This window comes from Homo sapiens, chromosome 8 (genome assembly GCF_000001405.40).
Source record: "Homo sapiens chromosome 8, GRCh38.p14 Primary Assembly".
Lineage (NCBI taxonomy): Eukaryota > Metazoa > Chordata > Mammalia > Primates > Hominidae > Homo > Homo sapiens.
In genome coordinates this window covers 17,902,557-17,925,928 of record NC_000008.11, presented here as the reverse complement: position 1 = coordinate 17,925,928, position 23,372 = coordinate 17,902,557, and the positions used below count along the sequence as shown (strand labels likewise).

General features: G+C 42.3%; 3 protein-coding genes across 35 annotated transcripts in view, besides 6 other annotated features; 2 read left to right on the top strand and 1 right to left on the bottom strand.

Annotated features, from left to right (window-relative positions):
- The window catches only part of PCM1 (pericentriolar material 1), a 106,961-nt gene extending 104,020 nt beyond the window's left edge, over positions 1–2,941 (bottom strand). For 29 of the 33 annotated variants that reach the window (NR_148032.2, NM_001352633.2, NM_001352650.2 and 26 more), the window contains exons 1-2: positions 2,741–2,941; positions 1,149–1,216 (exon numbers count right to left, since the gene is read on the bottom strand). The gene's annotated coding sequence lies outside the window, so the exon portion shown is untranslated. The remainder of the gene's footprint in view (positions 1–1,148; positions 1,217–2,740) is intronic. The other 4 variants (NM_001352638.2, NM_001352651.2, NM_001352652.2 and 1 more) reach the window with 1 other exon arrangement.
- LOC124901867 (uncharacterized) lies at positions 942–4,901 on the top strand. The gene is made up of 4 exons (XM_047422505.1): positions 942–1,015; positions 1,702–1,772; positions 2,163–2,420; positions 2,583–4,901. The coding sequence occupies exons 1-4, from the start codon at positions 942–944 to the stop codon at positions 3,263–3,265; spliced, it is 1,086 nt and encodes a 361-aa protein (XP_047278461.1). The 3' UTR covers positions 3,266–4,901.
- Positions 1,914–1,973: an enhancer, noted in NCBI's record as "active region_27049". NCBI's record gives its function as "activates an Ori minimal core promoter by ATAC-STARR-seq in GM12878 lymphoblastoid cells {active_cell/tissue: GM12878}" and the evidence as "EXISTENCE:reporter gene assay evidence [ECO:0000049][PMID:35858748]".
- Positions 2,435–2,729: a silencer, noted in NCBI's record as "tiled region #9839; HepG2 Repressive DNase matched - State 1:Tss, and K562 Repressive non-DNase unmatched - State 1:Tss". NCBI's record gives its function as "represses a minimal TATA promoter and a strong SV40 promoter by Sharpr-MPRA in HepG2 and K562 cells {active_cell/tissue: HepG2 | K562}" and the evidence as "EXISTENCE:reporter gene assay evidence [ECO:0000049][PMID:27701403]".
- Positions 3,124–3,573: an enhancer, noted in NCBI's record as "active region_27048". NCBI's record gives its function as "activates an Ori minimal core promoter by ATAC-STARR-seq in GM12878 lymphoblastoid cells {active_cell/tissue: GM12878}" and the evidence as "EXISTENCE:reporter gene assay evidence [ECO:0000049][PMID:35858748]".
- Positions 5,455–5,749: a silencer, noted in NCBI's record as "tiled region #2266; K562 Repressive non-DNase unmatched - State 9:DNaseU". NCBI's record gives its function as "represses a minimal TATA promoter and a strong SV40 promoter by Sharpr-MPRA in K562 cells {active_cell/tissue: K562}" and the evidence as "EXISTENCE:reporter gene assay evidence [ECO:0000049][PMID:27701403]".
- Positions 9,942–23,143, top strand: LOC124901892 (endogenous retrovirus group K member 25 Env polyprotein-like). The gene has a single exon (XM_047422511.1). It carries the CDS (start codon positions 16,368–16,370, stop codon positions 17,505–17,507), a length of 1,140 nt encoding a protein of 379 aa, XP_047278467.1. The 5' UTR covers positions 9,942–16,367; the 3' UTR covers positions 17,508–23,143.
- Positions 12,857–13,645: an enhancer, noted in NCBI's record as "H3K27ac hESC enhancer chr8:17769793-17770581 (GRCh37/hg19 assembly coordinates)". NCBI's record gives its function as "activates a minimal SCP1, AML or CMV promoter by ChIP-STARR-seq in naive H9 embryonic stem cells {active_cell/tissue: H9 hESC(naive)}" and the evidence as "EXISTENCE:reporter gene assay evidence [ECO:0000049][PMID:30033119]".
- Positions 13,646–14,436: an enhancer, noted in NCBI's record as "OCT4-NANOG-H3K27ac hESC enhancer chr8:17769002-17769792 (GRCh37/hg19 assembly coordinates)". NCBI's record gives its function as "activates a minimal SCP1, AML or CMV promoter by ChIP-STARR-seq in primed H9 embryonic stem cells {active_cell/tissue: H9 hESC(primed)}" and the evidence as "EXISTENCE:reporter gene assay evidence [ECO:0000049][PMID:30033119]".
- Positions 23,144–23,372: the final 229 nt, after the last annotated feature.

Here is a 23,372-nt window from a genome sequence, read left to right as displayed (position 1 = left end):
GGTCCTCATAGGAGAGCTATAAAATAAAAATCTGTCTGCTTTTGTAGAAAGCAAGAATATATATTGATTTCTACAAAAGTTTCTTTTTTTTTGAGACGGAGTCACACTCTGTTGCCTAGGCTGGGGTGCAGTGGCACAATCTTGGCTCACTGCAACCTCCTGCTCCCAGGTTCACGCCATTCTCCTGCCTCTGCCTCCAGAGTAGCTGGGACTACAGGTGCCCGCCACCACGCCTGGCTAATCTTTTTTGTATTTTTAGTAGAGATGGGGTTTCACCATGTTAGCCGGATGGTCTTGATCTCCTGACCTCGTCATCCGCCCACCTCGGCCTCCCAAAGTGCTGGGATTACAGGCGTGAGCCACTGCGCCCAGCCAATTTCTACAAAACTTTCAAAATGAACTTTCTTAAAATTTTAAGAGTAGAATTAAATTTAGGTTATTTATTTCTGAGGTTTTTTTCTGAAGAGCAATTATTTCTAAAAAGCTTTTAACAAACTTCTAATTATCTTTTAGCCATTTTTCCAAACTGCCCTTTGCAAACAATTATTGAACTTCTCCTAGTGAACTTACATTCTACAACACTGACTTTATTCTGCTGGACAGAGAATACCTTTATGTCACTTGCATGTGACAATGTACTATGCGCTAAAAGTAATGTTTCAAGTAACTTTATACCAGGAAAGGGAGATCGAAGTACAAAAAATAATAATAAAGTAATTTTAGACAACTAAATTTCGGTCAAGGTATAACAAGTTCGACAAGTAGAGTTCATGAACAGCCAATTAATAGGAATGTTGTAGGAGAGAACTTGAGATTAAATGGATTTGGAAAGAGAGGCTATCCAGTTATAGGACAAATTCAAACAGGTTGAAAAAATTCTGTGAAGACAAATAAATTTCAAACGGTACTGCATAAACCATTCTAGTAATTAATAATTAGGAATGACAGGGCCTTTCCGAACAAAGATATACCGGCAGGCCAAAGCAGCACGCCGAAAAGCAGAGCAAACAGGGCGGTGAACCCAGAAAGTTTGTTTACTAAGCAGAGAGGATCCTCAGTCATGCACTGTAACTGTGACAGCAGTGTCCACCATAAAGTCTTCTCCAACTCTAATACAAAGGATAATACAGATAATAATGTCAAATTACCTGTTTAGAAACTAGTTTTTGCAGCTCAGAAACTGCTCCTTTCCCGCTCCACACTTCAAAGCTGTTTCCTAATTAGGATTAAAAATATGTATCACTTAAGTAAATTACTTACGCTATGAAATACAGAATAAAAAATACTTCAGTTTTGGTCTAAAGTATGTTTAGAAAGATCAAAAGAAGGGGAAAAATATAACTTATTCATATTTTAAATTTAAGTTACCTCAATTCTTTTGGAAAATAGTGTGATATGCATAAATGCTTAAATCCCCTAAACTTCTGAAATCTTACCAAACAGCAAAGTGATATCTATTTCGGAACAGTGTAACAAAGATGGTTAGCCCTAACTATCCTTTAATAGTCTATGCCAAAGTTTACTCCTCTGATTGATCGAGCTTCCTGTTACTCAAACTATGTAACAACCTCGTATATCCGATGATTTTAAAAATGTTTGCTCATTTAAAAGCTACTGTACTTCATAATAAAATAACCTCGTCACTACATAAATACCAGGTTTACCTTCAATTCAAAAACTCTGTATTATATTGGTGTTCAGGGGTCCTCACCAGGAAGGTGCTAGGGAAAGAAAGGAGCAGGTGCACCCGAGGCTCTGCAACACCCACTCCGGTAACCAGAGAACACCAGCAGGCGGAGTCTGGAAAGCGGTTATGGGGCGGGGGTGGTAGGGGCGCCCAGAAAGCCCGCTCCTTCCAGCGCCCAAACACGAACCGTCACCCGTAAGACACACAATACAGACCTCAACTCGCTCAAAAAAACAAAACAAAACAAAAAAAATTAAACCAGGCGAGTTCCTGGGGAGTAGGCTGAGGGATGCAAAGTTGGCGCGCCCAGCCTCCCTGGCGGGGCCTAATCCCCAAACGCCAGTTTCTGTAAACCAAACAACGTTTCCCCCAGTCCCACTTGGCATTTAGTCTTTCCCGGTTCTAGGCCCAATTCTAACTAGATAGGTAGGAAGGGAGAAAGAAGGGGCAATAATTACTCCATTAACCTTCCCAGGAACGCCTCCCCCGGCCCATCGGCTCCCACAGCACCAGAGACGGCGGAAATCCTGCAGCTCACAGCCCAACTGCAACTCTTCAGAGTCGCGTCGCTCCTCATCCGCCCTTCTACACCCCAAACTCTGGACACCGAGAGTTCCACAGAGGGAACGCGGGGAAGAACTATGGCCACCAAGGCCTGTTTCTCTAAGAACTCGACCCAGTGCCCCTAGCACCCAAACCAGAGTCCCCGCTCCGCTTCCTCCGCCCGCAAGGGGTATAGCCGGAGCCACCGGGACGCAGAACAGCCTCCCCGACAGGGCCAGCAGGAGGGGCGAGGAGGCAAGAAGGGAGTCCTGCAATCACCAACGCGTCGCGAGGTGCTCACCCGGGGATCCCGGCGATCAGTCCTGAGGGAGCGGGCGGACTGACCGCCTAGGGCACGGGAAGCCCGGGGCAGGAAGACCCGGGAACCTACAGAGGAGGCGTGGGCCCGTGGCCAGACCCAACAGGGCCGAGTGTCCCGGAGCCGTTACTCTCCCGCCTCTGGGGCGCGCCGCCCTAGGTTGCCAAGGGCTGGGGACGCGCAGGCATTACCTCTACAAGAAGCAGCCTCTCCTGTCAAAGGCAGAGCGACAGTCAGCCCCCACGACCCGCCGCCGGCAGCGGTCGGCCCTCGGAGACCGCAGCAGAGAGGCCCACACGTTTCCTGGCTGCCTCGGCCCCAGTGGCCGCCTTTTCGACCTCAGCTACGCAGCGCCAACCGCCGCAGCCACCGCCATCTTAGGATCTCATTGTGGTGGGAGAAGAGGGGCGGGGGTACTGCAGAGGGGGCAACGCGCGGCGGGACATGCGCCGTCTCCTCGGCAACGGCCGCGCGGGGGCGAGAACTCGCCCGGGCGGGAGCCGCAATGCGAGCTAGACTGGAGTCATGTGACCCGCCGGAGTCTGTGGTGTCGCTTCTGGCTCTTTAAGCCGAAAAGAGATTACACCAACGAATCCGCCCCCACCCGCCCAGGAACTATGTATCCCAGAATGCCAACTAGACCTCGCGTTCTAAACGCCTGCCGGCCACAGGTGGAGGACTACAAATCCCAGCATGCCGTGCGCTTCCGGCGCTGATCGCGGAGCGTGGGGCCCTAGGCCTATGCGGAAGTGCATTGATCCCTCAGCCCGTGGAGAAAGAGCGGAGGCGCTGTGCGGTTTTCCGTGGGGGTGTCAGCTCCGGCCCGTGCCGGAAGAAGGAGCCAAGACCGGGATCGCTTTTTTGCCCCTTCCTCACCCCACATTCGGTCACGAAGAGGTGGAAACAAAAGGACACTTACAATGTAGTCCAACCTCCTGATTTTACATATGAGGGGATTGTTCCACGGAAGTTAAACAATTTGCCAGACGTCATTATGTATCTACTGAGTGAGAGAATCATAAATATTGTTGATAGTTAACGCCACTTTTGGTTAATGTCCCTTTTCCTTAAAAGAGCCAGATGATTTTAATCCAAACTTAATTTCAGTAAATTTTCTCTGAACTATCTTTTTATTTATACTCTCCTGTTACAGCTCTATTAAGATTAATAAATTGGCAGGTCCTCCCTTTAAAAAACAAAAATCAATAAAGTCACAAGGCCTTCAATGTGCCTGACTGGAAAGGTAAAACACCTGTCAGTTTTAGTTGAGTGCAAGGGCATTCTTCTAGTTTTACGCAGTTTATAATTATGGAATAACTTTTTAAGCAAAATAAAGGTAAAAAGAAGAATTGCATTCTGGGTTTCAACAACAAAAACAAATTGTTCCCAAAATAGTAGGTCTGCATCTCAGTACGCAATTCACATAAAGCTCTTCTATCCCACTGCAATCTGCCACCGTAGGTTCAGTCGTGAGTGCATTGATCGTTGGTCAGACACTTTTTCCTCATATTCTGTGTGTGTATCGCTAACTACTGCGGTAGCAAAAATATAGTCCCTGCCCTTGAAGAGCTCATATTTTAGTGAAGGATGCGGAAGTGGAGTGTGATGTAAATAAAGTTTGTGTTGTAAGAAAAAGTGCTGTGGGAGCTCAGAACACAGCAGCTAAACGCTCAGGTGTTTATTGTAGTCCAGAATGCCCTATCCTAATTCCACCACTCCAAGATCCTGGACAAGCGACGTGCCTTTCTGAGCCTTAATTGCCCCATCTATGAAATGAGGGGGAAGGAATGATACTGCCTACCTTGAAAGGATTTTTTAAAAAATGTTCTCAGAGTTTGTTTTATGCCAGGCACACTGTAAAGCACTTCGGCTGTTGTGATTTTCTTGATCCTCACAGTTACCCTGAAGAGGCTGGTTCTGAATCTGACCCGTTTTGGCAATGAAAGATTATATAAATCAAACTTGTAGCAGCTGCAAGTGGTAGAGCCTAAATTTAAACGGAGGTCTATGTGATTCCTTTAAGATTTTTTTTAATTAAATACAACGCATATAAAAACACTAGTATATGTTGAGGCCCGAAATATTAGCTATCATCATTATTTTGCTTTATACATATGTATTATTATTAAACGTATGTAGAAGCTGTTATCATTAAAACAATTCTAATAAATTCAAAAGCGTGAAATTATAATACGTACTAGTCATTATGTTTTCTGAATTTATGAAGCTCCAGAATGTCAATACTATTGTTTATTAGGAGGTAGGAGGAATTTGAGAAATATTTACATTGAAATGTAGAAGCTGTTATCATTAAAACAATTCTAATAAATTCAAAAGCATGAAATTATAATATCTACTAGTCATGATGTTTTCTGAATTTATGAAGCCCCAGAATGTCAATACTATTGTTTGTTGGGAGGTAAGAGGAATTTGAGAAATATTTACATTGAAAAGGGGATCTCAAACTCAAATATGAGCATTACTGATCTTTGTAAGGGAAGAAGGAAAGAAAAAAAACAAGAAGCGATAAAATTATACCTGGCTTTCAGAAATTTAACATCTATTTTTAGAAACAAACTTTATCAGAATGAATCGACTTAGTGTTAATAGTCCGTCACTATGCCAAACAAATGATGTAGACACTGATTGCTGTGGTAATTTAGATTTTTAAAATAGGGATGTTTTGTCTCAGAGATAATGATAGCTCTAGGATTTATAGGTAGGATGAAATTAGGGGCAGCAGTCTGTGGAAATGTAGATAGGAAACAGAAGAATGGCCTCTAAGAGATAAACATTGAAACTGCCTTTCAGTTTTCCACATTCAAGAGAACAACCTAACACATGTATTAAATATGCAGGGGGTGGAAGTTCCAAATTGCAGAATGATGTTCAAGGAAGTGGGATATACCAAGAACACAGATCACACATCCAGAGTAAGCAATGGACAAAAAACAGACTGGCTGAAGTAGAGGATTTATATATGGTAAGTGATGGGGAGGTGGGAGAAGGCAAGGTTTATTACCAGGTTGGGGCCAAACTATAGAAAGTCAACTACTTATCTAAAGAGTGTGGACTTTGTTCTTCAGTTAGTGTGAAACCATTTGAGACTTTGGAAGAGGTCAATGCTGTAATGAAATGGTTATTTGAAGACTTCAATCTAGTGGCAATGTTTTGTAAAGACTAGGAAAAGAAGACAAGGAGAACAGGTGCCAACCTGTCATGAAGTAATGAAGGCTTGGCCTAAGGTAGTAGCAGGATGAATAAAGTAAGGGATTTAAATTTTTATTCACATAAACTAAATCAGTTGTTATGATGTGAAAATACTATTTCTGTTTCTTGATATTTGGTAGGACACTAACCAGGTGGTACTTATAAGATAACACAGCCGGGCACGGTGGCTCATGCCTGTAATCCCAGCACTTTGGGAGGCCGAGGCGCGTGGATCATGATGTCAGGAGTTCGAGACCAGCCTGACCAACATAGTGAAACCCCGTCTCTACTAAAAATACAAAAATTAGCCGGGTGTGATGGCATGTGACTATAATCCCAGCTACTCAGGAGGCTGAGGCAGGAGAATTGCTTGAACCTAGGAGGTGGAGGTTGCAGTGAGCCCAGGTCACACCATTGCATTCCAGCCTGAGCGAGACTCTGTCTCAAAAAAAAAACAAAACACTTGGTGCTATAATGTTTATCTCTTTAATGTATTCTGTATGCTCCTTATCCACAGATGGATTGTAAGCATGTCTGTAACAGAAATCCAGCCGTTTGTACTTTTTAATCTTTGAAAAACAAGTTTTCTGCAATACCTAGTTTTAACCTGCAGATGGTGACAGAACTTAAAGGAAAAATCTTCAGGGACAAATCCACTACTTTATAACTGCATGTTATTTGTTTTTATTATGTGATTTTTTGATACACCCAAAAGAATATATAACATACATGTAAACTCTATAGTACAATACTGACAACTGGGCGCATTATATGCCTGTAATCTCAGCTACTTGGGAGGCTGAAGCTGGAAGATCACTTGAGGCCAGGAGCTCCAGACCAGCCTGAGGAACTTAAGGAAACTGTTTCTACATACATACATACATGCATACATAAAGTACAATAACGAGCGAAACACTCAAGAACCCACAACCTAACTTTGAAAATAGAATTTAATCAAAACGTGTCTGGGTACAGTGGCTTATGCCTGTAATCCCAGCACTTTGGGAGCCCGAGGCAGTTGGATCATTTGAGGTCAGGAGTTTGAGACAAGGCAACGTGGCGAAACCCCGCTGCTACTACAACTACAAAAATTAGCCAGACGTGGTGGTGCGAGCCTGTAATCCCAGGTAGGTTGAGGCAGGACAATATCACTTGAGCCCGGGAGGCAGAGGTTGCAGTGAACCGAGATTGTGCCACTGCACTCCAGCCTGGTGACAGAGCAAGACTCTGTCAAAAAAACAAAAAAAAAAAAAAGAACTTAAGATGTTTAAGGACTGCTCCCTGCCACATTTTCTTCAAACTCTTTCCTCTTTGCAGACATAAATACTATCCGGAATTCAATGTTATTGAATTCCTTCATTTTATTCATGTAACTATGGATATCCCTAAATAATATGTTTTATTTTGCTTGTTTTCAAGCTTTATATAAATGATATCATACTGAATGTATTTTTGCTTTACTTGCTTTTTTCATTCAACATTGTGTTTCTGCGACTCATCCATTTTAATGGGTATAAACCCCAAATTTATTAAGAGCAGAACGTAAAATTAATTTTTGAATATTCCTGAAAAATATAACTTGGCTTTCTGGGTAACTTAATGGAAGAAGAGACTGGTCATGCCAAACAAAGGACTAATTGGAGGCCTCTGACCTAGTTCTTACACCTTTTGGTTAAATTGTAGCACGGTTAACTTCTCTACCTTTTAATCTAGCCCAGAGTTTCTTAACCTTGATACTATTGACAGTTTGGGCTGGGTGATTCTTGTTGTGGGGCGGTTCTGTGCGTTCCGGGAGGTTCCGCAACATCCCTGGCCTCTACCCACTGTATACCTAGAGCAAACCCCTGTCCATTGTAAAAACCAAAAATGTCTCCTGACATTGATTGCCAAGCATCCTCGGGAGTTTGGGGAGGGAGATTTTTCTCCCATAACTCTTTTGCTCAAAAACTTAAAAGTTGATGTATATAATCTAATCAACCAGCCATTATATAATTATGTCAACGAATTCTATCAAATCCACATGCGTAAGTAATGTTTCAAGGCTCTTTTTACTTTGCTCTGTTTTCCCCAGATCTAATTATCAGAACATCTCTCATTACTGCCTAGTTTTGATTCTTTATTATTAGATTTGAAAATACCTAATTACTGCCGTCGACATACAATATTAACGTTTGTAACGGTCTGAACTGCCTCTTCCTTCATAACCAATTTATGTTCTTTTCTTTCAAAAATCACTCATTTAATGGATGTAACCTTCGTGATTCTGACAATTTCATCTATAGTTGCATTTCATCAGTTTTCACATGGCTTTACTTCTACAGAGTTGTGATTACTACATGATTCTTCCTGTATTTTTCTTGTATGTATGTTTTTACGTCATCTTCTCTATTCACTGAAAATGTGGTCAAAGCTGCAATCATGTAGTAAAATCTTGAGTAAATTGCTTCCTTCCCAAGACACACCAAGTTGGAGAGGTTTAAACGGAGAGATATGAGTAACCATTTTTTAAAACTACAAGGAAAATAATCCACATCTTTTTCCTTGTTTCCCACCAGCACTATACCAAAACAGTTAAACCAGAACTATGTAACTAGATATATGTTGGTAATTAAGTAGAAAAATTGGATAATTAGGTGAGGGAGTTCCAAAAATATGGAAATATGGGCTGATACAGATTTTGTTTCCTAATTCATAGGAAAAATGTTAGAAAGGCATGAAAATTAAACCTCAGCTTTCACTTTAAAAAAGCTGTTAATCAAAACAAAATGATATGAAATAAGGACTCAAAATTATCATGGTTATAAGGAATAATCTGGAGTGATTTTATAAAAGTTGGTTTCTGGGTCAAATAAGTTTTTATTCACAGAAATAAAGAGATCTGCAGGTGACAACTAGATTTGTAATATGCATCCATACGGACTAGCAGAGGAGTATGTGGCATGATTGGGGTTACAATGATTCATGTTAAATTCACGGCATTATGTAGGAAAGCTACAGCTGTATATATTATAATTTTTTTTTTTTTTGAGACAGAGTCTCGCTCTGTCGCCCACGCTGGAGTGCAGTGGCACGATTTCAGCTCACTACAACCTGCGCCTCCCGGGTTCAAGCCATTCTCCTGCCTCAGCCTCCCAAGTAGCTGGGACTACAGGCACCCGCCACCACGCTTGGCTAATTTTTTGTATTTTTAGCAGAGATGGAGTTTCAACGTGTTAGCCAGGGTGGTCTCGATCTCCTGACCTTGTGATCCACCCACCTTGGCCTTATAATTTTTTATTTTACCGTAAAAAGGCTTCCACATTGCATTTCTCCTTCCATGAGAAAGATCCCAAAGTCAGGGGAGAACTAGCAAAACACACGTGAATTCAGATTAACCAGGTAAGAGAAAATGCCCTCTCCTTACCAGAAGAACTAAATAATTTCCAGGGCTAAAAACCAAGGACGTTGGATGGCAGGCCGGTCTATCCAAGACTCTCCCCAATCTAGATAAGGAAACAAGTAAAACTCTGATAGCGGGTGAAACACACTGGTATAGAGGAGAGGTTTGTGGGTCAAAACAGGGGCTTGGATGTGGGCCGAGGTAGTCGAGGGCCAGCGTACAGTGTGCCTGTTTAAGGATTAACAATATATGCTTTAGAATAGTGCTTTATTAATATAGTCATGAATCATAAGAATAGCTTGTGCTTAGTCCAACAATATAAGAATCAGGCGGTGAGCTTGCTTGACTGACCACAGAGTGGAACAAACAACCGCAGGAAGTGTGCGGAGCCTCTAAGCAAGAAAGCTTGCTTATTGCTCAACCTCCCACTTGAGTCCCTGAACAAAGGTCTCGTGGGAAGGGAAGCGACCCCTGCTCCATTCCCCAGAAGGGAACAGCAGGAGGCTGCTTGTAAAAGAGGAGAAGTCCTCTGCGGTAGAGATGAGGAGGAAGTCTTCTATCTCTCGCTCGTTCCCAGAGGCGGAGAGCTCTGCTGCTCTGCTGATGGTGCTTGGAGTGGACCACTCCTTTGATGCACAGGCCTGTGGTCTGACGGGCTATCTGCTTTCACATCCTGTTCTGTTAAGCCCCTCTGCCACCTCTCCCCATGGTCACTCTATGATCACCCAACCATCTGCCCACCCTCAGCCCATAGGATCAAAGGAATTGTACTCAATAAACATCAGTGGAATCCAGAGCTCAAGGCCTTCGCAGTTTCCGTGTTGTGATGGAACCCTGGACCCACTTTTGTTAACTCTTGAACTTTGTGTCTTTATTTCTTTTCTCATTCCTTCATTTCCACCGGGAAGGGGAGAACACGCATGTGGTGTAGCGGGCTGGTTCCCCTACATCTTTGGCACCCAGTGTGGGCTCCTTGTACCCAGGTGGAGTTACACCTGAGCATGGTCATTGCGGAGACCAGTCTGTCGAGGGACTCCCAAGAACGTGTGGTCGGCCTTGCGGTAAGCTTGTGTGCTCGGAGTATTCCAGGGACACCATGGGACAATCGGGAAGTAAGCACTCTGCTTACTTACACTTTATCAAACTCCTCTTAAAGAGGGGGGTAATAAAGGCTAGCACAGAAAACTTGATTACTCTGTTTCAAACAGTAGAGCAGTATTGCCCTTGGTTTCCTGAATAAGGTACCATGGATTTAAAAGATTGGGAGCAGGTTGGAATTGCCTTAAAACAAGTTCATAAGGAAGGAAAACTTATTCTTCTAACGGTCTGGTCAGACTGGGCTATGGTTAAAGCAGCCTTGGAACCGTTTCAAATGGAAAACGAGGTTTATCCTCCGGCAGAAAGAATTCCAGCGGAGGAAGGCGGTGCTGCCGCCAATATAAATATAAAGGAAGTTGAAGGAGGAGAGGATAGTGAAGAAGATTTTGAGGAAAGTACAGACAAACCTGGAGATGACTTAATTTCTTTTGAGGAGCATGTGGGACCTCCAGCTGCTCCTAAAATAGAGAAGCTATTTATGCCAATATGTTTAAAACAAAGAAGGGCCTTGAGGAATCTTTGGCTCCTCATTGGGATCATCCGGAGTGGCCACCTCCAATAAGGCAACGTAACCTGGAGCCTTGGAGGTTTGAATCTCCAATTTGCCCTGTTTCACGAATGGATAAATTAGGGGCTCAGGAATCAAGAACACGTTTTGCAGCACCAGTACAGCATAGGGCTGCACTGCCACCTAATGTCAATGAATCACCATTTCAAATGGTTATTCGGCAGGCTAGGTTAGCTGGAGATCCCGATGCCTGGCAGTTTCCAGTAGTTTTGGAACTCCCACAGCAGCAGGGTGGTGCCCATCAGGCGGTATGGGAACCATTTTCTTTTAAGCTGCTTAAAGATCTCAAAGCAGCTGTTGGTCAGTAAGGTCCCAATTCGCCTTCTGTCCAGTCACTATTACACTCAGTAACTCAGGACAAGCGATTGGCCCCGGACGATTGGGAGATTTTAGCAAAAGCTACTCTTTCGCCCTCCCAATTTCTTCAATTTAAAAGTTGGTGGACCGATGAGGCTCAAAATCAAGATCAAAAAAACCGTGCTGCTAATCCTGTTGTTGCCATTTCACTTGAACAACTGTTGGGAGTTGGGGGCCAATGAGGAACTGTACAACAATTAGTGCTTCAGGATGATGCCGTTGAGCAAATTCGCAATTGTTGCTTGAGGGCATGGGAAAAAATTCAGGACCCGGGAACTACTTATCCCTCTTTTAATTCTGTCAGACAAGGCTCAAAAGAACCGTATCCTGATTTTATTGCTCCTCTTCAAGATGCAGCTCAGAAGGCTCTCACTGATGAAAGTGCCAGGAAGGTGATTATAGAATTCTTGGCTTATGAAAATGCCAACCCTGACTGTCAATCACCTATTCGCTCTGTGAAAGGAAAGGTTCTGGTGGGAGTTGATGTAATCAATGAGTATATCAGGGCATGTGATAGATTGGTGGAATCATGCATAAGGCTATGATAATGGCTCAAAACATGGCAGGATCAAAGGTGGGAGATCCAGTGAAAAACTTTTCAGGCAATTGTTATAACTGTGGGCAATTTGGAAATACAAAAAAGGAATATAAGAACAAATCAAACAAACAATCCAGATCTAATCAAACAAAGGAGCCACCTGGCTTATGTCCCAGGTGCCAGAAGGGTAAATGTTGGGCTAAACGGTGTCACTCCAAATTTGATGAAAATGGCCAACCCTTGCAGGCGCAATTGGGAAATGGGAAGAGGGGCCAGCCTCAGGCCCCACTCCAAACTGGGGCATTCCCTCTCCAGCAGTTTGTCCGTCAGTGGGCACCAGTGCCCTTAATCCCTCAAGTGACCACCACAGTAACATAATTGGCGCCAGTTACAACAGGGGGCGCTGCTTTAGATTTATGTTGCACCAGAGCTGTGTCTCTGCTTCCAGGGGAACCACCTCAAAAGGTGCCCTCTGGAGTATTTGGCCCTTTACCTGAGGTAACAGTTGGACTTGTTTTAGGGAGATTTAGTCTAAATTTAAAAGGAGTTCAAATTTATACTGGAGTGATAGATTCCGATTTTGTGGGAGAAATTCAATTGGTTATTAGTTCTAGTATTCCTTGGAGTGCAAGCCAGGCAGAGAGAATTGCTCAATTGTTGTTATTACCTTATTACCTAATTGTTGTTATTACCTAAGTAGGAGAAAGTACAGTAAAAAGAGAAGGTGGTTTCGGCAGCACTGATAGCAAAGGAAAAGCAACTTATTGGGTAAGTCAAGTTTCTGAAAATAGACCTGTGTGCACAATAACGATTCAGGGAAAACTCTTTGAAGGACTTGTCGATACAGGCGCTAATATTTCTGTTACAGCCCTGGATCAGTGGCCAAAAACATGGCCCAAACAGAGAGCTTCTATGGGTTTAATTGGAATAGGCATGGCATCTGAAGTTTATCAGAGTGTTACAATTTTACACTGTTTAGTACCAGATGGACAGGAAGGCACCATCCAACCTATAATTACTGCCATTCCCATTAATTTGTGGGGAAAAGATTTGTTACAACAGTGGGGTACGGAAATCACCATTCCCTCTATGATTTACAGTTCAGAGAGTCAAAGCATGATGACTAAGTTGGGGTATACTCCTGGAAAAACATTAGGAAAGAATGAGGATGGAATAACTCAGCCAATTGAAGCTTCAGTTAAACTTGACCGAAAAGGAATTGGGTACTCTTTTTAGGGGCGGCCACTGTTGAGCCTCCAAAGCCCATCCCATTGAAATGGAAAACTCAAAAACCTGTGTGGGTTGATCAGTAGCCGCCTCCTCAGCAAAAACTGGAGGCATTACATTGACTAGCAAAAGAGCAATTAGACAAAGGACATATTGAACCTTCTTTCTCACCGTGGAATTCCCCGGTTTTTGTAATTCAGAAAAAATCCGGTAGATGGCGCATGTTGACCAACCTACGAGCGGTTAATGCAGTCATTCAACCGATGTGGGCTCTCCAACCGGGGTTGCCATCCCCAGTCATGATTCCAAGAGAATGGCCGGTGGTAATAATTGATTTGGGTCGGGCGCGGTGGCTCACGCCTATAATCCCAGCATTTTGGGAGGCCGAGGCGGGAGGATCACGAGGTCAGGAGATCAAGACCATCCTGGCTAACACGGGGAAACCCCATCTCTCCTAAAAATACAAAAAATTAGCCGGGTGTGGTAGCGGGTGCCTGTAGTCCCAGCTACTCCGGAGGCTGAGGCAGGAGAATGGCGTGAACCCGGCAGGCGGAGCTTGCAGTGAGCGAGATCGCGCCACTGCATTCCAGCCTGGGCGACAGAGTGACACTCCATCTCAAAAAAAAAAATTTGATTCGAAAGATGGTTTTTTCACCATTCCTTTGGATCCCCAGGACTTTGAAAAATTTGCATTTACAATATCTGCTATAAATAATAAGGAACCAGCTACTAGGTATCAGTGGAAAGTTTTACCCCAAGGAATGTTAAATAGTCCTACAATTCGTCAAACTTTCGTTGGGAAGGTCATTCAGCCCGTCCAGGATCAGTTTCCTGATTGTTAATATTATTCATTATGTTGATGACATTTTATGTGCTGCTACAAGTAGGGATAGACTTATCAAATGTTTTTCTATGTTACAAGAAATGGTGGGGCTTACAGTTCTCGCTATAGCGCCAAATAAAATTCAAACTACTACACCCTATCATTACCTAGGAATGAAGGTGGAGGAGAGAACAGTTATGCCTCAAAAGGTAGAAATTCGTAAGAAGTCCTTAAAAACTTTAAATGATTTTCAAAAATTATTAGGAGACGTTAATTGGATAAGGCCCACCTTAGGAATTGCCACTTATGCGAGGTCTGACTTGTTTGCTTTGCTGAGAGGGGATCCAAATTTACATAGCAAAAGAACTCTGACGCCTGCAACAGCTTCAGCTGTTAAGAATAATTGAGGAAAAAATTCAAAGTGCTCAAGTCAGTAGAATAGATCCTAGTGTTCCCTTACAGCTCTTGGTGTTCCTACTCTCCATTCTCTTACAGGAGTGATTATTCAAGATGTTGACTTGGTTGAATGGTCTTTTTTACCCCACAGTACAACTAGGACTTTTTCAATTTACTTAGATCAAATAGCTATTCTTATAGGCCAAGCCCAATTAAGAATAGTTAGATTCACTGGCACAGATCCAGATAAAATTGTAGTTCCTTTAAACAAAGCACAGGTTCAACAAGCCTTTATACATTTATCAGAATGGCAGTCTAATTTAGCTGGTTTTGTTGGCCATATAGATAATCATTACCCTAAAACAAAAATTTTTCAGTTCCTAAAATTGGCTACCTGGATTTTACCTAAAATAACCAGTTCTATCCTCTTGGAGGGGGCTGTAACTGTCTTTACTGATGGCTCTCAGAATGGAAAAGCAGCTTATACAGGACCAGAAGAAAAGGTTATTCAAACCCAGTTTCATTCTCCACAAAGAGCTAAGCTACAAGCAGTTATATTTGTATTGGAAGATTTTGATCAACCTGTTTATATTGTCTCTGACTCTGCCTATGTGGTTCAGGCGACAACAATGGTAAAAACAGCTTTAATAAAATATATTTCTGATGATCAGCTAAATTTTTTGTTTAGTTCACTTCAACAAGCAGTTAGAGTTTGAAATTTTCCTGTTTATATTACACATATTCTAGCTCACACAAATTTACCAGGACCTTTAACCCAATTAAATAATCAAGCAGATTTATTAGTGACACTTGTTTTAACAGAGCCTCAAGAATTCCATTCATTAACTCATGTAAATGCTGCTGGATTAAAAAATAAATATTCATTTACCTGGAAACAAGCTAAAAATATAGTGCAACATTGTCCGCAATGCCAGGTGCTACAGCTACCTACTCAAGAACCTGGAGTTAATCCTAGGGGGCTTAAACCAAATGCTCTTTGGCAAATGAATGTGACTCATGTCCCATCACTGGGAAAACTTTCTCTTGTGCATGTTACTGTTGATAATTTCTCTTGGTTTATCTGGGCTACGTGCTAAACTGGAGAAAGTACAGCTCATGTAAAACGACATTTATTATCTTGTTTTGCAGTCATGAGTGTGCCACAGAAAATGAAAACGGACAACGGACAAGGATATTGCAGTAAAACTTTTGAAAGTTTTGTTCAGCAATGGAAATTTGTACACACTACAGGAATACCCTATAATTTGCAAGGTCAGGCCACAGTAGAAAGGGCCATTCGGACTCTTAAGACACAATTGGAAAAACAAAAGAAAGGGGGAAGCAGTAAGGAGTATACCACGCCCCATAGGCAGTTACAATTAGCCCTTTTGACTCTAAATTTTTTGAACATTTCCAGAGATCAGGTCTCCACAGCAGCGGAACAACACTTTTCTGGACAGAAAGTTAATTTACATGAAGGAAAAACGGTCTGGTGGAAGGATACCAGAACTAAAACTTGGGAATTAAGAAAAATTATGACGCGGGGAAGGGCTTTTGCTTGTGTTTCACCAGGAGACAATCAAACACCCATTTAGATACCCAATAGACATTTGAAATTCTGCAATGAACCCTACACCGACCGGACAGAAGAAAGGGAAGAATCCAAAGAGGAAGAAGACTGGTCCCTCCGACCTGTCCTTTCGGGAGCTGAGAAAGATGACGAAGCTGAGCGTCTCAGAGAAACAACAGAAGACGGAGAAGACCCGCCAGGCTACACCACCGACATGAGAACAGATAAAGAAGCTGACTCAAATGGCAGAGGGCAGCCTAAAGGAGAAACAACTGGCAATTATCCCGGGTAATATGATCTTGGCTGCCTTGATGGTAATTACCGCGGCGGTAAGTCTCCCTGCTGTCTGGACTGAAGAAAATTTTACATACTGGCTTCTGTTCCATTTCCTCCTTTAATTAGGCCAGTTACTTGGATGGATTCCCCTATTGAAGTTTATACAAATGATAGTATTTTGGATGCCTGGGCCGATTGATGATGGCTGTCCTGCACAGCCTGAGAAGGAGGGTATGTTGATGAATGTAACTGGTATGAATACCCTCCAATTTGTTTAGGAATTGCTCCTTGATGTTTACCATTGCAAATACATAGTTGGATAATCTATGTACCTCCTCATAATCGTTCCCAACCCAGTTATCACGTAGTGAGTGGAATGTCTTTCCAACCTATCATGACTGTAAAAACTTATGGGGATGGTTATTTTCGGTCAAATTTAAAAGTAAAAAATTACAAATCTCAAGGACTGGCTTGTCCTAAAAGAAATCCAAAATGGTCAGAAAAACTAGAGATTCTTGCTTGGGACAACTGTGTAGCAGATGGTGCAGTAGTTTTGCAAAAGGATTCTTATGGAATAATTATAGATTGGGCCCCCAAAGGATCCTTTGCCAGAAATTGCACTGGACAAAATGCTGGGTGCGCTGAGGATTCCTTCATGATAGATTATAGAGAAAGTCCCAATAATCCCCCCACTTTAGTTAGAAGATTGGAATCACTATATCCATTGAAATGGGAAGATAAAGGTACTGCTCCTCCCTGGCCAAAGATAATTAGTCCAGTCATGGGTCTGGAACATCCAGAATTGTGGAAGTTGCTTATGGCTACCTCCGGAATGAGAGTGTGGAAAGGGGAAGCATCATGGGGAACAAGAGGTAATAAGCTACTGTTTACCATGCTTCTTCAGTCTAATCAGTCTATTTCTCTTCAAAGTTGTGTTAAACCTCCTTACATGTTAGTTGTTGGAAAACTTATCATTTTACCTGACTCTCAAACCATTACTTGTGACAATTGCCATCTGTTTACTTGTATTCATTCTACTTTTGATATGAGGAATAGCATTTTGCTGGTCCGAGCACGAGAGGGCGTTTGGATTCCAGTTACTCTTAATAGGCCTTGGGAGACTTTTCCCTCTATTCATGTAATAACTGGAGTTTTAAAAGGGATTCTTAATCGTACAATAAGATTTATTTTTACTTTAATTGCTGTGATTATGGGCTTGATTGCTGTCACCACCACCGCGGCTGTGGCAGGTGTTGCCTTGCATTCTTCCATTCAAACTGCTCATTATGTTAATGCCTGGCAGAAAAATTCCACCAGATTATGGAATTCTCAGGCAAAAATTGATCAGAAGTTGGCCAATCAAATTAATGATTTGAGGCAAACAGTCACCTGGATAAGAGATCGTTTTATGCATTTAGAGCATCGTATGCAAATGCAATGTGATTGGAATACATCTGCTTTTTGTATTACTCCTTATTCTTATAATGTTACTGAACATCAGTGGGAAAAGGTCTGATGCCACTTACAAGGAAGAGAAGATAATCTAACCCTGGATATAACTAAATTAAAAGAACAGATTTTTGCAGCATCGCAGGCTCACTTAAATTTGTTGCCTGGAGCAGAAATGCTTGCTGGAGCTGCAGATAGGCTCTCGGAGCTCAATTCTATCAAATGGATTAAAACTCTGGGAAGCTCTGCCATTGCTAATTTTGTTTTAATTTGTGTCTGCTTATGTTGTCTGTTTTTAGTCTGCAGATGCGGAAGGCAGCTCCTGAAAGAAAATCAAAACCACAAGCAAGTTATGATTGAGATGGCTGTTTTAAATTTAAAAAATGGGGGAAATGTGGGTCAAAACAGGGGCTTGGATGTGGGCCGAGGTGGTTGAGGGCTGGCCTATGGTGTGCCTGTTTAAGGATTAACAAAATATGCTTTAGAATAGTGCTTTATTAATATAGTCATGAATCATAAGAATAGCTTCTGCTTAGTCCGACAATATAAGAATCAGGCGGTGAGCTTGCTTGCCTAACTGCAGGGTGGAACAAACAACCACAGGAAGTGTGCGGAGCCTCTAAGCAAGAAAGCTTGCTTATTGCTCAACCTCCCACTTGAGTCCCTGAACAAAGGTCTTGTGGGAAGGGAAGCGACCCCTGCTCCATTCCCCAGAAGGGAACAGCAGGAGGTTGCTTGTAAAAGAGGAGAAGTCCTCTGAGGATAAGGGGAAAGTCTTCTATCTCTCGCTCGTTCCCAGAGGCAGAGAGCTCTGCTGCCCTGCTGATGGTGCTTGGAGTGGACCGCTCCTTTGATGCACAGGCCTGTGGTCTGACGGGCTGTCTGCTTTCACGTCCTGTTCTGTTAACCAATTAGTTGGACTTTAAGGATTATCTGTAAGTTAAACATAGAGTATTAGCTTATACAGTGGAACAGTAAATAATATTAACTTGCTGATGACGCATGCTACCCCCTCTGCCACCTCTCCCCATGGTCACCCTGTGATCACCCCACCATCTGCCCACCCTCAGCCTATAGGATCAAAGGAACTGTACTCAGTAAATATCAGTGGAATCCAGAGCTCAGGGCTGTCGCAGTTTCCACATTGCGATGGACCCCTGGACCCACTTTTGTTAACTCTTGAACTTTGTGTGTTTGTCTTTATTTCTTTTCTCATTCCCTCGTCTCCACTGGGAAGGGGAGAACCCGCGGGTGGTATAGCGGGCTGGTTCCCCTACAAGGTTGACCAAACTTTTTCTGTAAAAGACCAGATATTAAATATTTTCAGCATTGTATGCTATACATTCTGTTGCAACTTCTCAACTCTGTGGTTATAGAATGAAAGCAGCTACAGACAGTATATAAACAAATGAGCATGCCTATATTCCAATAAAACTTTATTTGTAGACACTGAAATTTAGATTTCATATAATTTTCACAGGTCACAGGATATCGATCTATTTGTGATTTTTTTCAACTACTTAAATATATAAAAATGGACCATGGGTCGAGTTTAGACTGTGGGCGATACAATAGTTTGTTGACCTCTGATGTAGAGCACTAAACACTTAAGTTCTTAGATAATTAATGTTAGGTCAGAGGAGAAATTAGCAATGGAAGAAAATTCAGTTTCATTACTTTACAGGATGGTTATTTTATGAGTACTATTTTGAACTAATAGAAAGAGAGGGTATAAAGCCAATGTAACCGAATGATATTTGTAGGTATTAGTTTGTACCATATATTTTCTTTCTTTTTTTTTTTTTTTTTGAGACAAAGTCTCACTTTGTCACCAGGCTGGAGTGCAATGGCACAATCATGGCTCACTGCAACCTCCACCTCCCAGATCCAAGTGATTCTCCTGCCTCAGCCTCCCAAGTAGCTGGGACTACAGGCATGCACCACCACGCCCAGCTAATTTTTGTATTTTTAGTAGAGACAGGGTTTCACTATGTTGGCCATGATTGTCTCGATATCTTGACCTTGTGATCCACCCACCTTGGCCTCCCAAAGCGCTGAGATTACAGGCATGAGCCACCATGCACAGCCACTGTACCATATATTTTCTTATATACTGGATTTTGTTTTTCCCCATTCAGACTAGAGGTAGGCATGCATTTCCTCTGCGGATTGTCACAGCCAGCAATATTAGAAACAACAGATGAAAAAAGATTAAAATCAGAGAAGCTCCCACTCCCACAATTTGCCGGGGTGGAAAGAGGATGAATTGGTGGGAAATCAAAAGAATGTGATGTTTTCCCTTGCATTGCTGAAAAGGAAGCGGGGGGATTTGCGGCAGCAATCTGTGTAGTCCCTCAGGCTGAGGTCCCAGTGACTAGAGCAAGAATAGACAGTTGTAGTGATATTATACCAACTTCACACCACCCCAAACCCCAGAAATCATATGCAACCCCCAGACTGGAGAGAAACTCTAAATTGTCTGATATCATGCTGAAAGCAGTAGAGAATCAGATTTCTCTGAGCCCATGGAATGGAGCCTTGAAATTCAATTAGAAAACAGCTGCAGTTATTTCACATGTAAATTGTCAAAAGACACATATCCGCTTTACTAACATAGAACAAGTATCAGTTACCTGAATGCTCTCAAGCCTCGAAGTTGGTGGGGAAACCATGTTTCCATTACATCTACAGTGGGAAACCTAACCTCACTTGCTGGCACCTTCCAGGATCTTTGGAGTCAATGTTTTTCTATTATTTCCTGCTTTTACTGAATTACTGTAATTTCTCTCAAGTCTAGCCTCTTTTGGCTGTTCTTTTTCTCCACTCTGCATCATTCCCAAAGCAACAGCCTCTTTCCCTCTTCTCAAAATGCTGCAGATACAAGGCATCTCTGTGTAGTAGATTCTTACGGAAGATTCAGGCAGGGGAAGAGGAAGAGGAATTTAGGCTGCACCAAACATCTTAAAACTGACTATTTAAAGATCCTTGCTCTTTAAAGATCCTTGGCCATAGCCCAGAACTTCTCCCTGGCTGCCTCTTGCTCAGCTCCCTGGCATCTTGATGTATTCCTTCCTCACATCCTCCTCCCCATTCTTATCTCATTCACTCCTTCCTTTTTCACACCTTTCTTCTTGGGTTACCTAAGGAAACTCGAAAATCTTCATTAATTCTTCATTAACAGAATAATTTTGCCCTTCTAGTTTCACTGCTAGCCTATTTCAGCCAGGCCTATTATTAAACACTGTTCTTCCTCTATGACTATGCTAATGAGTATGACCTATTTCCTCACCATGGAGTTCTGAGAAATTATTTCTTTTTTGAAAGCTAAAATTAATTGCACAAGGCCCTGAACAATCCTGATTAGCAGATATTGTGAGAAGAGACATCTCCATTTCCCTGACATCCCCTCCCATTATATTCAAGAGAAGAACAGGGCATGGCTAACTCGGTTCTTAGGGGCCAGTGTTCATTCCAAACCCACAGTGCAGGGAGGAATTAGAGACCACATGTGGCTCTCTAGATGGGTCCCATTTTTTTGCTTGTTTGTTATATTCCCAATATTTTGTCATTTTTAAAAACATTCTCATGTGGTCTGGGGCCATCCATCATTACCTTCTGCAGCAATAATTCCACTTCTGATCTGGTGAAAGCTTCTCATGGATTGTGTGTGTGTCTATGTGTGCGTGTGTATGTCTGTATCTGTGTGTGTGTTGGATGACAGAACTATAGAGGATTGGGAAGATGTGGAGATAAAGATTCTCCTGGTGATGTTACGCTCCAAGTTCAGATTGCCATCAGTGGCTTGGGCTTCCACTCTGCTTCTTTCTTCCACTCTTCACCTCTGATTCATCTAGATCCCTGCACAGGCTGGAATTATGTTCTAAGCCTGGGAACCCCACAGCCTCTGTGTAAAGCTAACAAAGCCCATAGCAAATGGATAAGACCCTGCTTCTAGAACAGTCTACTTCAAGTCAAATCGTGGCATATATGATGTTAAGCAAGTTGCTTGCTCTCTTTATGTCTCAGTCACCTCACTGGGAAAATGGGAATTAAAAATAATAATACATATCTCAAAGGGCTACTCTGGAGATTACATGAATTAGTACATAGGAAGTGTTCAGAGAGTACCTGGCTCATAGTAAGTGACTTCTAAATGTTGACACTTAATTTAAGTTTACAGAGAAGGCTCTGTGCCAATACTGACTTAGGGCTACAAGGTCTCAGGATCCATTCCCACACTCAGATTTTAACCATTGATTTCAAAGCACCCACACATGCCAGGTTGGCTGGCTCATGATGGCTTTAGCCATTGGGACCACCTGAGCGGCTTCTGGATACTGACACTGGGACTAGCTAGATCACCACATAAAAGAAATCAGATTTTAGCTTGTTGATTGTTGACTTGATGGAGAACTTCTAAGCCTTTTTAAGTAGAGAAGTAATGTGGTCTTTTTTTGCATCAAGATAATGTTTTATACTCTGTAGCAGATGGTCTGCATGAGGAAGAAACTGGGAGCAGATTGATCAACTAAGAGATACCAGTAGATTATGCCAAGGTGATGAACACATGAATTAAGGTGACAGCAGCAATGGCGCTGATGGAGAGAATTTACCATTTAGAAGGTAGAATCAGCAGAACTTATTGACTAACTGGAAATGCAGGATGAGGAGGAGGAATGTTCTCTGATAATCCCAAGATTTTGAAGTGGGTAAATGAAGTGAGTAAATGCTGGTTTTGCCAACTCACTATCTTCTTTCGAAGGCAAGCCTTTCTTCCCAAGGGGAGGGAAGAGGAAGAGAAGAGACTATAATAAATTTAGTCTGAGCTAACAGGCTACTGGACAAACACTTCTGGAGTTACAGAGAGAAGTAATAGCTGGAATGAAATATTTGGGAGTTGTTAAACACTAACATTCAATGGACCAAAAAGGAAAGAATACTCCATAAAGGAAAGATGGAAAACTTGGAGGATGCCCAGAGAACTAAGAGGGATGGGTTTTATAAAAGCCTGTGGAAGAAGAACTTTTGAGGAAGAAGGAGCAGCCTGAGAATTCAGCGAGAAACTGCCATGAGGAGTGTTGTGGCATCTTGTAAGCAGCCGCAATTGCAGTAAAGGAGTCAGAAGTCACTGGCTTTAATTGAGGAGTTCATGGAAAGAGAGACCGTGGAATCAGTGAGTGTGGACTGTCTTCTTAAAAAATAAGCATAGTTGAAATGGAGAGAAAAATAGGAAAGTTACTAGAGGCAGGAGTAAGAGAGATTTTAATTTTCTAGGGTTTAATAGACTTGGGCTTGTTCATAGAGTAAAAAGGGGAAACAACTGTGGAAGGAAAGGGTGAAGTCAATAGTGAAAAAGAGGAAGGTAATCAACCTAGCTCTAGAGAAGAAATGAGGAGCTGGGGATTAAAGCACACGTGGAAGGATCATAGTACAACAGGTGGAATCAATACCACAGAAGCAACCCTCAAGCAACAAGGACCTGGGGTTGGTGGATATATACCTACTCTTGGTCTCCTGCCACCTGAGAGGAAAATTCTGATGTGGGGCTCTCAGAGGTTTCAGTAGGTTGGAGCCTCAGTTGTCTATGAGTGTACCCCCACTCATTAGGTACTTTTTGGCTTTCCTCCCTGTTCTATTTCATTTGACCACACCCTTGTTTATGCTCCCTGGAATCACCTCCCAAATAAACTACTTGTATCCAAATCTTTGTCTCAGGCTCTGCTTTCAGGGAATCCCAATTTAAATAGTTGTTGAGCAAGAACATTATCCCAGACTTTGTGAATCCAGGTCACAAAAACATTTTTCTTATATATATCTACTTTTCAACTTTCTTGGTAGCAATTTTGTTCTGCTACAAGGTCTTCCATTACAGATTAAAGAAGTTTCTTTCACCTTTCTTAACTGAAATGTAAAATTCTTGTGCTAAAGCATG